The sequence below is a fragment of the Homo sapiens genome, chromosome 1 (assembly GCF_000001405.40).
Source record: "Homo sapiens chromosome 1, GRCh38.p14 Primary Assembly".
In the NCBI taxonomy this organism is placed as follows: Eukaryota; Metazoa; Chordata; class Mammalia; order Primates; family Hominidae; genus Homo; species Homo sapiens.
The window spans coordinates 31,671,230-31,683,849 of NC_000001.11; the positions used below are offsets into that span (position 1 = coordinate 31,671,230).

The following is a 12,620-nucleotide window of genomic DNA, read 5'->3' on the forward strand; positions in this document are numbered from 1 at the left end:
AGGGGCATGGAGAGGTCTGGCCAGCATGCCGCATGCTTCCCTGGTTGGGAGGCTGTGAGCCTGAAGCCTAGGCCCCCTGCCGAGGGCGGCCTGGGGCCACTGTGGAAAGCGCAGCAGAGGGTGGGGACAGGGAAGCAAAGAGGTGCCTCTGAGGACCTCCCCTAAGCAGGACCGCAGGCAGTAGGCAGAGCAGGGCGGTTCCAGGGCATCCGGTGGTGGGAGAGCACAGTCCCTGCAGATGCTCTGCGGAGGGATGGGGAGGGCAGTGGAAGTTCCCTCCTCCTGCCTTGCCCAGCCTTTTGGGGACAAGGCCGCGGGATGGTGTCTGAGTGTAATGACCCCTTTGAGAGCTTCTCAAGCAGACCAGGGCACCACTGATACTTACGATAGGGCCTGGAGGACCCGGGGAGCCCCTCATGCCAGGCGGACCCTGCAAAGGAAGCCAAGGGAAATGGATGAAGAGGCCCAGGCCCCATAGAGCCCCTGGGATTCCAGCAGCCTTCCTCCCAGCTTGCCAGGGCCAAGGTCAACAGAGGGTGGCTGCTGTCCAAGCAGGACCACTTAGCTGATGTTCGAACAATCTTTCATTTGGCCCATTCGGTCATCCTACAAACATTTAACAAGCAACTATTACGTACCAGGCATTAGTCCAGGGGCTAGGATCACAGCATAAACAAAATAAATAAAAACCCCTGCCTCAAAGCAGTTACATTCTAGGGGAGAGACGGACACTAACAAATAGAACAGGAGCTGGCACATAGTTGGTGTTGAGCTGACACCTGTAGAATGTTCCTGAATGAAGTAAATAGGCAGGATGTTGGATGGTGATGAGTATGATGCAGGCCAAGGGGACTGGAGGCTCTGGGGTTGGTGTGGAGTTCAATTTTAAAGAGGGTGGTCAGGGGAGGTCTCTCTGAGAAGGAGACATTTGAGCCGAGCTGAAGGAGTGCAGGAATAAGCCCTGGAGAAGAGCGTTGCAGGCAGAGGATGCAGCTGGGCACTGGGGAGAAAGAGTGTGTCCTACGCTGGGTCCTGTGTATCCCAGAGAAGCCACGTGCCAGGAGAGCAGATGAGCCCAGAGTGGTAAAGGGCATCAGTCAGGTGAGGCCTCGGAGGCCCCCAAGAGGTCTCAAAGGCAGACAGGGCCCCAGCTCCCTTGAGGATGAATCCCCATCCCTGGTCTTACCTCTTCTCCTCTCTGGCCTGGCAATCCCGGAGGACCAGGTAGGCCTGGGCTCCCAACACAGCCAGGATCTCCCTCACTGTTGTCACCCTGGAGAAGGATGGAGACGGTGATAGTGAGCAGTCAGGGCCTGTCCCTGTGGGGCATGGGGCATGATCGGGGGAGATAAGGCGAGGCACTCACCCGGGCCTCCTCGGCTCTTGGGCGCTCCAGTGACAAAAAGCACTGCAAGGGACAATGAGAGGCACATTGTCTGATGAGGCAGCCAGGGAACCCTCCTGCATAGGGCAGCCCCAAGCCCAGTCCCTTACCTGGGCGCAGTTGTCGAGGCCTGGCACACCAGGGATGCCCTGGTCTCCCTTCTCTCCCTTCTCCACGAGGTACCCTGGGTGGGCCCTCTGCCCCTGGACACAGTCCCCGCAGATACTCTGATCAGGGAGTGGGGAGAGGAGTGGGGCCTGGGTTAGAGATGGGCAGGATGGGCCAACTGGGGAGCCCCAGTGAGAACCCAGAGCCAGGGCTCCCTGCCCTGCCGTCTTCCCTCCTCCCACACTCCCTCCCTCCCCAGCCGCATCCCTGCGGCAGCTTTGCTCCATCCTCGGGGGACCCACTCCCAACAATTGGCTTTGAGTTTCCTCCAGGAAGAAGCTCTGGTACAGCTAAGCCAAAGCCACTTTCCAGACAGGCATGTGGGTGGAGGCGAGGGGCCCGCAGAGGGACCATCTGTCCCGGCTGTTCCTGCAACCTGCACCCACTGCGAGGACAAGCCACGAGGAGTGAGGCTGGAAAGGCTGGCTCCGAACGCCAGCTTCTCTGCCCAAGGGAGCAAAGGAACAGCTGCGGGAGGAGCCAGGCCCTTCCCAGGAGCCCCTGGGACAGATCTCAGATTGCTCACAGGCTCCTGGCTCGGATCGCGCCACCAGAATTGTCTTCCCCACAGGAAGGGCTTTAACCTTCTTTGGGTCACAGACCCCTCTGAGAGTTTGATGGAAGCTATGGGTCCTTTTCTCAGAAAAATCAAACCCACTAGTGAAAACCAGCCTGCAATTTCTGAGGACTCAGGAGCCCGGAGCCTGTTTGTGGCCAGTGTCGTGTCCACAGATGCCCAGGCAGGAGCCCCTGCTCACTTTCACTGCTCACCACCAAGCCCAGTAATAACGACTGGCATTTACTCAGCACCCATGACGCTGGGCATTGTACATAATAAGCCCTGCACATTATCACATGCCATCTTGACGGCGCAGTGAGACAGGGAATCTTATAAGCATTGTGGAGATGGGAAAGCCCACTCAAGAGAGGCGGCGTGACTTGTCTAAGGAAAGTGGGAGCCTGGATTGGCGTGGGCCTGTCCTAGGCCACAGCCAGTGCTCTCTCCCCAGGCTTCCTGGACTATGGGTGCAGGTGGTGGCTGGGGCTCTGGGTCAGCATGCCCCGGGGTGCCATCTGACCCCTTCTCCACACTATGCGCACTTTCTATTTGGAATCCTCTGAAGAGCACTTGATGAAGAAGCCAACAGATGAAATGTTACAGGAGAAATGTCAAATCCTGGATTTGGAGTCACACGATCACTGCCCAGTCATTGACAGAAGCAGAGGGGAGAAGAGCTGGGGGTTTCGTTGCCACAACCTCACTGTGATCCAACATGTAACTGATGCCAAGAGGTTACCCCGACCTCCTCTGGCTGCTTCTGGAGAAATCTGCCGTTCAGAGCAGGGAAGGGGTAGACAGCCCCCATGCTCTGCCCTGACCAAGGCCCATCGGGGTCATGGGATGTCCAGGGCACTAATTAGCCAGTGTCAGAAGAGGGTGGCCAGGATGAGGGGGGGCTCTGGAGGCCAACACATGGGAAAGACCCCTGAGGATGCTGGGCTAGAGGAGAGAAAGTCCAGGAACATAAGGGCCTCCTTCAAAAACCTGAAGGCAACCTGGGGAATTACTGTGCTCTCGTTTCTAGAGGTGACTAAGCAAAGATGGGCTATGTGACTCTTGATTCCAATAGGAACTTCTGCTCAGTTTGGGAAGCCGGCCCAGGCCACAGCCCTCTGGTAGAGCATTAAGGCTGTGTACAGGCCCTGGCACAGGCCGACCCTCTGACCAGGTCCGAAGTCCCCTTTCTTAGACTACCAGAAGTGCTTCTCAAATCCATCTCCTCCCTGGATTCTTTCTGGATTGACTAGAGAACAGCTGAAGCTTTCTTCCAGGCCACACCCAATCTCACAGCCCCCCACCACTGCACTTTCACCCCCTCTGCTTTGCTTTGGAAGCTGCTGGGCTCTGCCGCAGGGTGACCCGGGTGCTACGGGGTCTCATTGCCAGCTGCTGCGGGCAGGCTTCAGGGCTGGGTTCTGCCGACAGCATCTGCCATGTGGGCACCTTCACAGGATTCCTTTAAGCACTCATTCAGCAAATGTTGCCTGGGGGCCTGTTACAAGCCAGGCATCAGCTAGGCCCTCTTAGACAGATGCTTGGAATGCGTATTCCCTGCAAACTGCTGCTCTCTCTGCGAGGTGCCACACAGCTGAGCACTTACTAAGAGAATCCCCTTAGGAGACACCCCCGCCAGCTCACACTTCCCTCCTGGGTACCCTCTTACCTTAAGGAGGTGCTGTTCAATTGGTAAGGATCCCTGCAAGAGACAGATGTGTGGGCTCAAGCAGGTGAGGGGAAGGAACATGGAGACTTATGGGATCAGGGAGAGCCTTGGGACACGTCATGCACCTTCCAGCCTCAGAAGTGGGAGAGAAGAGGGACCCCCACTGCAGCTACCGGGCCAGCTTCATAGCCTGAGCAGCCCTGGGAAGGGCAGGGAAGGGGCATGCACAGGGAGTCCTGGCCAGTACCCACCAGTTCTGCAGTGAGCCCAGGCTGTCCTGGCAAACCGTTGTTTCCAGGCACTCCCTGTAGCCAAGAAGAGACACGAGTGAGTGGGCTCCATCTCTCTAGCCTGCTGGTCAGCCTGTTTCCTTCTCATCATCCCCGCCTCCTCTTCCCCTTGTCCTGCAGAGCTGAGAGCCCTGGCTGGCACAAGGCTGACATCTATTCTTAGCTCAAAAGCCTCTCGACCCTTATAGGGAAAGCCAGGGAGGCCCAGAAGAGCGACCCCCCAAACCGTCCAACAGCAAGTGTTTTCCCCCCACATCAGAGGGAAGGTCAGAAATTGAGCAGAGGGTCTTCCATGGAACTACTGTTTATTTCTGTGCTAAGTCGTTTTTCTATATTTTCTCTCTTTCTTTTTCCTTTCCTTTTCTTTTTTCTTTTTTTCTTTGTAGAGACGGGGTCTCACTCTGTCACCCAGGCTGGAGTGCAATGGCATAATTATAGCTCACTGTAGCCTCAAACTCAGCTCAAGCGATTCTCCCACCTCAGCCTCCTGAGTAGCTGGGACTAGAGGCGCTCACCACCATGCCTGGCTAATTCTTTTGTGTTTATTATAGAGACCAGGTCTCGCTGGTAGGCTGGTCTCAAACTTCTGGGCTTAAGTGATCCTCCCCGCTCAGCCTCTCAAAATGTTGAAATTATAGGCGTGAACCACCACACCCAGCCTATTTTCTCGTTTAATCATCACAGCTATCTTGTTGAACTAGGTGCTGTTATCTCCATCTTAAAAATAGCACAAAGAACCCAGAGGAGGCTGGGCACGGTCACTCACACCTGCAATCGTAGCACTTTGGGAGGCCGAGGTGGGCGGATCACCTGAGGCCGGGAATTCGAGACCAGCCTGGCCAACATGGCGAAACCCCGTCTCTTCTAAAAATATAAAAGTTAGCAGGGCATGGTGGTGTGTGCCTGTGGTCCCAGATACACGGGAGGCTGAGACAGGAGAATCACTTGAACCTGGGAGATGGAGGTTGCAGTGAGCCAAGATTACGCCACTACACTTTAGTCTAGGCAACAGAGGGAGACTCCGTCTCAAAAAAAAAAAAAAAAAAGAACCCAGAGGAGTAAGTAACTTGCCAAAGGTCACAAGTTGAGCAAGGCACAGAGCTGAGGTCCAGAGCAAGGATCACTGGCTTCTAACCCCTCTCTTAACCACAATTCTAGCATCATTCCTCAACAGACATCCCCAGAACATTCATGTACACAGCAAGGGTGGGTACTTGCCAGTCAGATTCATCTAGATACAAAATTCTGACTACCTGTATAACTTTTGGCAATTTATTTGGGGGAAAAAAATTCTATGCCTCAGTTGCCTTATCTATAAAACAGGGATAGTTTATGGTGAGGCTTCAAGGAGACAATGGCTGCAACGATGTTTACATTAAATCCATGCCACCCGGACAATGTTCCCCTTGCAGATTCGTGAGGCACATTTGCATATTAAATACTCCATGGAGGCAGGGAGTATGTTCCATTTTGAATCCCCAGCACCCAACATGGAGGAGATGTGCAGTAAGTACGTGTTGAGTGAATGCACCGCTGCTCAGCCTGCTCCTCCCTGCACAGGATTTCCTTGGCGCACTCTGAGATCTGGCCTTCCTTCAAGTCCCAGCTCCCAGCAATGGAACATATCACCAGCCCCCGAGCAATTTCCAGGCAGGCTCTACCAGGCCTGGGTCAGACCCGGAGCCAGCCACCATCCAGGCCCCCTGGCACCTCTGTGCACCATCAGGGCTTAGAGCAGTGCCTGGCACAGGGAAAATGCCTTGAACATGTCAATTATTATTTTTTATTTATTATTATTATTATTATTTTTGAGATGTATCACTCTGTCGCCCAGGCTGGAGTGCAGTGGTGCAATCTCAGCTCATCGAAACCTCCGCTTCCTGGGTTCAAGCGATTCTCCTGCCTCAGCCTCCTGAGTAGCTGGGATTACAGGCATGCACCACAAAACCCGGTTAATTCTTTTTGTATTTTTAGTAGAGACGGGGTTTCGCCATGCTGGCCAGGCTGGTCTCGAACTCCTGACCTCAAGTGATCTGCCGACCTTGGCCTCCCAAAGTGCTGGGATTACAGGCGTGAGCCACCACGCCTGGCCCGAACATGTTAATTATTATGCCTTAAATCATTATTCATCCCTTGCTCCCCTCTCCAGGGCCAGTGTGATAGTTCAAGCCTGATACTTTGTAATTGTTTTCCTGACCTCTCAGAACTAAATGTTCTACCTGTTGTCCTACTGCGGAAGCGAAGTGCAGCCAGAATTGAAAGCTGGGCTCAATGACCTACTAGTTGCCTCAGGCATCTTTCTTAACCTCAGTGCCTCAGCTTCCTCCTCTGTGGAATGGACTGAGATGAAATGAGATAACTAAGCACTGGGACAATACAGCCTTGGATGAGTAAGTGCTGTACATCCCTGAGCCTGTTTCTATACCTGAATAAAGGAGCTGCTTGGCCCTCCTGCATCCCACCTGGCATGGGGCAGGTACCTGTGAGCAGCAGCCTCGGCTTGGTCTCAAGCACTGGCACTAGGTAAGGACTCTGGTGCCTGGGACCAGACTCAGCAGTCACTCTTTTCTGCCTCATTCCCCAGCATGTCTTGGCAGGGTTTACACTACATCAGCTCTCGCTTATTAATGGGTCACTTTGAAATGACTCTTACACTTCCCCAAGCAAACTGCAAGCCCTCTGCAGACAGATTCCTGTTTCCTGGCAGTGTGGCAGGAAGCCCCAAAAGCCCCAGACACTCGGCAAATGTGTGGCTGCAAATATGTGGCGTGGGCTCTAGTTCAGCACTTCCAATAGGGTAGAGAGAATTGGGATCCTGGCAGAGACTCCCATCGGCAACAGTGGCTCACTAGAGCAGACTCCCAGCCCACGGTGGCAGGGGAGGTGTGCCAGGGTGGCGGGGGTGGGGAGGGAAGATACAAAATCTATCAAATCATTGGGGCAAGGAGGAGTAGCTTGTAAAAAGCTTCCATGTGATGCTGCCCTGCTTCTTCAGGTGAGAATCACTCTCTTAGGAGCTGGGAGCCAGACACACGGACAGTGGTGTCTATGCCACCTAGAACCTCTGGAAAACGTGGCTTGCTAGGCAAACCACTGGGAACTGTCCTGAAAGGCATCAGAAGAAGGTAAAAAGTGCTTTGCATGGGGAAGCCCCAGTCTAGCATTGTCAATTCCTAGTCGGGCGGCCTTAGACAAGATACTCCATCGCTCAGAGCCTCAGCTTGTCCAGCTGTGACTTAGGAATAATAATACTGCCTTCCTTTTGGGGCTTTTATGTAAGGCTCAAATGAATAAAAGAATGGACGTAAAATAATAATAGTACTCATCATCATAATAATGATAGCTAATGCCTTCTAAGCATTTGTCACATAAATAATATATAATAGTCATGGGTACAATTCTATACCCTTCACATGCATTAACTTGTTTAATACTCACAAAAGCCCTATGAGTTAGGCGCACTTAGCAGAAGAGGGCAGTGAGACACAGAGAGGTTAAGGAACTTGCCTACCGTCACACAGCTAGCACATGGCAGAGCCGGGATTCAAGTTCAGGCTGCCTGCCTCTGGAATGTACCCTTTATTCACAGTGTCACACAGATCTTGGCTCCTAATGCTCTTCCCTCACTATCTCTGGCTTCCTTGCAATTCCCCAAACACATCCCACCTCTGGGCCTTTGCACCGGCTGTTTTCTCTGCCACAAAGGCTATCCCTCACAGCTTCTCATCTCTTTTAAGTTTTGATTCAAACATCACCTTCTTTTCAGTACATTTTGCAAATACTTCTCCTGCCCTCATCCCATTTTCTATACTCACTCCCTGCTTTACCATTCTCCTTAGTATGTATCACTTTCTAACACACTATATTTTATTTATTTATCTTGCTTATTGTCTGTCTCTCTTACTAGAATATAAGCTCCAAGAGGGCAGGGACTTTTATTTTTAGCCACTACTGTATTCACAGCAGTTAAAGCAGTGCCAGAAAATAGCAAATGTGCAAAAACACATGTTGCATGAATGAGTGTTGAATGCTACTCCAAAACAGTGGGCCGGGCTCTGTACCAGGGTAAGGGATTTTTATCTGACCCAGATTGTGGGTGCCTGACAGCTGACGCAACAGTGCATTGCTTGAAACAGTGCTGGGAGTGCAGAGCCTGGCCTAGAGGCTCAGTGGGCCCTCCTTGCCACCCTGGGAGGCAGGTAAACAGAGGAGTGAGAAATGGCATGTCTGTGTTTTTGGGGTGGGGGAGCAGCATCCTTGGGGTCCAGCCGGGAGCAGCCATCCTGACCCATGAGCTCTGCCACCCAAGCTCCTCATTCTCTTCTCCCCCTTTACCTGCAGCCCAGGTACTCCAGGGGGGCCTGGTGGTCCGGGAATACCTGGTGGACCCTGAGGGAGAGAGAAAAGAGTCAGAGCCAGCAGAGAGCTCTGCCCCATGGCCGAGAGCAGCTGTTTAGGGTGGACAAGCCGCGGGGCGCTGGCGGACAAGAGGAGACAAGCGACACACCTGCGGGCCCGGCTGCCAGGAGCTGCCCATCCAAAGTCCCGGAGCACCCTGGGTGGGAGTGGGGGTCGCAAAAGAAGGGGAGAGGTTATAGGCAACGTCTACACCAAGCGCGGGGCTGCGTGGGGAGGCGGCTGGCTGGGGTGCGTGGCCCTGCGGGGCCTTTGCACACTGGGCACCAGACGAGGCTGAAGCTGGTCCTCTCCCCCAGTTGGGGGAAGGCTCTCACAGCGCCACTTACCGGCATGCCAGAGAAGATGAGGTCTCCTTGAGAGGGGCAGGAGCACTCCCCTGGCTCACCCTGAAAATACAAGAGCCTTTGTGAGACATGGATGAAGACGAAGGGCTCTCTTGAAATGGACATCCGAGAGGCACGTGGGCTCTAGAGATGGAGAGGCCAGGGTTTCAATCCAGGATCTGCCTCTTCTAATGTGCCCTTAGGCAACCTGTTCAAACTCTCTGCACCTCAGCCTCCTCGCCTGTAAAATGGGAACAATAATTCCAAGCGCATGGAGTCTCAGGAGGACAAAATGGATTCGTGTATGCAGGGGTCCTGTCGCATGGTGATTATTCAGCAAACGATGGTCCTGCTGTTACAGTCGTCAGTTATAACCTTCTCTGCTGCCACGCAGGTAATCTCGCTTTCAGTACAACTGCAGCCCCACTCCTCTGGGCCCAGCCTGGCTTCCATGCCCTTCGCTCGGGAGCCCCTCACCTCTCTGCCCTCTCACCACTAGTCCTTTCCAGCTCACTTCCTGCCCCATCCTCTGACTCAGCCCCCATTTGAAAATGCAGCTGCCCTCCTAAGGGGGCCTTGGAGTTTTCCAGTCTCCCATAATCCTGGTTGAGTCCCAGGCCAGCAACCAGGTGAAGCTGGGGATACGTGGAGCCCCTGAAACCAGAAAGCTGGGGGTAGCAAGGAGCCCAGGATGCCTCCTCCACCCCCATCCTCCAGTCCAAGGCAGCTTCATGTGCACAGGCTCCCCTGGTTCATGGTGGGAAGGCTGGAGGGGCTGCTAATCCCCCAGAGTACGGGTCACAGGTGGGAAGGCTGGAGGGGCTGCTAATCCCCTAGAATATGGGTCACAGGCCCTTGGAACTCACCTTCTCTCCTCGTGGTCCTTTTTCACCCTGCAGGGAAGAAACACAGGAAGGTGAGCAGATAGGGGTGCCGAGGCAGGGCCGGCCATGGCTTCCTGCTGCCCCAAGGCACTGTACTCACTGGTGTTCCTCTGAGTCCCGTCTGTCCTTGCTGCCCATCACGGCCCTGAAGAGAGAGAGCCCAGAGTCAGAGGGTGAGACTGGGCAGCGGCCAGCCATCTGGCCTGCTGCAGAAAAGGGGTGTAGGACAAACAGAAGCAGCGCCAGGTTCCCCTGGAGCCCAGGGCCGAGGGCCCACGTTCCAGAGGAGGAGACTGAGGTGCCGGACAAGGAAGAAGACTGGCATTTCCTGAGCACGTCTCAGTGCCAGCCACTGGGCCAAGTACCCGTCGGGGAACACTGAATGGAATCCGCTCTCCCAGCCCGGCAGGACGGTATTGTTCTGGTTTTCAGGTGTGGAAACTGAGCCCTGAAGAAACTTCATGACAGACCCAACAGCCAGCTGCAGCCAGGCGTGTGTAGCCTGAAGTCTCTGCTCTCTCCTCTCTCCCTTTAGTGCTTGATACACTTTCTCCCTATCACAAAAGTTACATCTGTTGACCTAACTGGGAGAAAGGGATTTCAGCCCCTCCAAGAAATTGGAGACTTTGAGAAGCTGTCACTTGCCTAGGGTCACGCCCCTAGCGAGTGTGGGGCTGAGGAAGGGAAGCCTGCTGGATGGAATTCAGCATGAGTAGAGGTCTGGAACGTTCTCCTGAAAAGGAAAGCAGTTTGGGCAACGGCATGGAGTCTGCTCAGGCCAGGAGAAGCCAGCCTGGCCACGCAGAGGCTCGTAGCTCTGTGCTCATAGCTCCTTCATGTGGGCTCCGCCACCTTCACACGTGGGACTTGAAGCCCCTGAGGACCTGGCCCACATCTCTCCTTTTGCCTGGGGCTCCCTGGGACAGGCAGGAACCCTGGCTGTCCAGCTCTGAGGGACAATAGAGACCGGCTGTGTGGGCTTGGGCGAGTCCCTGCCTGCTTTGGACGTTGGTGCACTCTCCTATCAGTGAATCCCAAACTGGAACTAGAATTTCTCCAGGGATCCGCAAAGACAGAAGAGGATACAGTTCACCTGGGCTATTTTTAACATTACCAAAAGCCCAAGACAAATTACGCATTTGCCCACCGCCTGGCATGGAACAGACTGGCTGAAAGGTAGCATGCCTTTGATTTTGGCTGCAATTAGATTATCTGGTAAAATTCTAGCGGGTTCATGTGGAGTAGAAGCTGACGACTATACAGGTCTTTGATGATTAAAAATGAGAAAATGCACTTATGATTACTTAATCCGTGCAATTTGTTCAATAGACATGTCTCTTAAAACGTGGGAGCCACTGGGTGAATAGTACAAAGGGAAGGTCTTTCCAATTATACTGGAAGTAGTTGCTGGTCTGGATCTGTGCCGTCTGATACAGTAGTCCATAGCCACATGGGGCTATTTAAATTTAAATTAATTAAAATTAAATGTCACTTAAAATTGAGTTCCTCAGTCACACTAGCCACATTTCAGGTGCACTCAACAGCCACCTGTGGTTGTGCAGAACACAGCGTTTCCATCCTCATAGACAGTTGTACTGGGCAGCACCGGTTCACATGTCCCTAATGACTGGGGATGGGCTTTGGTTTGAGTCAGACAGGCCTAGGTTGAAGTCCCTGGCTCTGCCTCCTCACCCTCTGGCCTTCAACTTCCTGATCTATGAAGTGAGTTCCCTTACAGGGCTGATGTGAGGATGACATGAATTTCTGTGTTTAGAGCTTAGCACAGGGCCTCAGCATGATCACTGCTCAAAAAATGGTGGTGATCATTATTGTATTATTCAAGCATTCCCCTAAAAGAGTGAGGTTTTCCTTGTCTGAGGCTGGGCTGAGGCCTCTCTCCTCCCATCCCCTGTGCTGCTGGGATGGGCAGGGTCAGCCCTGTGCCCTCTTCCCAGCAGAAACATCCTTGGTTCCAGCAACACCACCAGCATGGAGCACAGAGAAGACTTACCGGAGGCCCAGAGACACTGGCCCCAGGAGGTCCCACAGGTCCGGTGGCTCCTTTCACCCCTGGAGATCCCTGTGTAAGAGAAGGTACAAAGGTCTCAGGGGCAGAATTGGAAGCCAGCTACAACCCAGCAGGTAAGACACATCTCAACAGATCTTAGGCAGCCCTCTGATAGGCATCACTTGGCCCCCATGTCCCCTGTGCCTGCTTCTGGGACACTCTGGAATACTGCAGGCCCAATACCCATGGAGGCAGAGGCTCACCTGGGCACCCTTCTCTCCAGTGGGGCCAGGTGGTCCCCGAGGTCCCGGAAGTCCCTGCAGATGGAAGCACAGTTAGTTAACCCATATCCTAGAATGGCCCCCTCCCCTGCTATCCTCCTTCAGGACTCAGGCAGACGTACCTGAATGCCAGGCAAACCCGGGGCTCCAGGCTCCCCCTGCAAGTCAGAAAGGGCAGACTAGGGCACAGCAGCCACAGCCAACCTGCCCCACTGGCCCTGCCGCACCGGCAGACCTGGTCTGGGTGGGGTATCTGCCAGCCCAAATTCAGAAGAGCTCCCCAAGGAGACCCTGAGGGTCAGAGAGGCTGGGGTCAAAGGCAAGTCCCTGACAGAAGCAACAGCAGGCCAGGGCTGCGGCCTGATCCCTGGTCCCAGAACTAAGTCCTGTGCCTCTGGGGGCAGGCAGAGCCCTGAAGTTTGGGAGTGGATGGAAGTAGGTAGCTGGCTAATGGAAGTGCTGAGAGGACAGGCAAAGGCAGGGCTAGAGACTCACCTGGGGTCCCTGGACTCCCCTTCCTGGAGGCCCTGGCTCTCCCTGAAGAGGCAGAAGGACAGTCCCTGGCTCGAGGTTCCCCAGTCACCCTTTCCCCTTCTCCCCAGCCCCTTCTCCTCCAGCTTCTTCCTGCCCTGCACCCT

General features: G+C 54.1%; 1 protein-coding gene across 19 annotated transcripts in view, besides 2 other annotated features; it reads right to left on the reverse strand.

Annotated features, from left to right (window-relative positions):
- Window positions 1–12,620, reverse strand: part of COL16A1 (collagen type XVI alpha 1 chain) — a 51,755-nt gene that overhangs the window by 18,967 nt on the left and 20,168 nt on the right. For 11 of the 19 annotated variants that reach the window (XM_017000339.2, XM_047446432.1, XM_011540724.2 and 8 more), the window contains 15 exons: window positions 12,478–12,519; window positions 12,105–12,140; window positions 11,965–12,018; window positions 11,705–11,773; window positions 9,794–9,838; window positions 9,676–9,702; window positions 8,813–8,872; window positions 8,575–8,622; window positions 8,403–8,456; window positions 4,029–4,082; window positions 3,778–3,810; window positions 1,495–1,611; window positions 1,367–1,408; window positions 1,187–1,273; window positions 386–430 (listed from right to left, as the gene is read on the reverse strand). In XM_017000339.2, coding sequence (XP_016855828.1) covers window positions 386–430; window positions 1,187–1,273; window positions 1,367–1,408; window positions 1,495–1,611; window positions 3,778–3,810; window positions 4,029–4,082; window positions 8,403–8,456; window positions 8,575–8,622; window positions 8,813–8,872; window positions 9,676–9,702; window positions 9,794–9,838; window positions 11,705–11,773; window positions 11,965–12,018; window positions 12,105–12,140; window positions 12,478–12,519 — 813 coding nt within the window. Of the gene's footprint in view, window positions 1–385; window positions 431–1,186; window positions 1,274–1,366; window positions 1,409–1,494; window positions 1,612–3,777; window positions 3,811–4,028; window positions 4,083–8,402; window positions 8,457–8,574; window positions 8,623–8,812; window positions 8,873–9,675; window positions 9,703–9,793; window positions 9,839–11,704; window positions 11,774–11,964; window positions 12,019–12,104; window positions 12,141–12,477; window positions 12,520–12,620 lie in introns of those variants that run through there. The other 8 variants (XM_047446435.1, XM_047446431.1, XM_011540723.2 and 5 more) reach the window with 3 other exon arrangements.
- Window positions 8,734–9,933: an enhancer, noted in NCBI's record as "CDK7 strongly-dependent group 2 enhancer chr1:32145564-32146763 (GRCh37/hg19 assembly coordinates)". NCBI's record gives its function as "activates an origin of replication core promoter dependent on BRD2, BRD4, P300/CBP, MED14 and CDK7 cofactors, with strong dependence on CDK7, by STARR-seq in HCT116 cells {active_cell/tissue: HCT116}" and the evidence as "EXISTENCE:reporter gene assay evidence [ECO:0000049][PMID:35650434]".
- Window positions 10,209–11,081: an enhancer, noted in NCBI's record as "H3K4me1 hESC enhancer chr1:32147039-32147911 (GRCh37/hg19 assembly coordinates)". NCBI's record gives its function as "activates a minimal SCP1, AML or CMV promoter by ChIP-STARR-seq in primed H9 embryonic stem cells {active_cell/tissue: H9 hESC(primed)}" and the evidence as "EXISTENCE:reporter gene assay evidence [ECO:0000049][PMID:30033119]".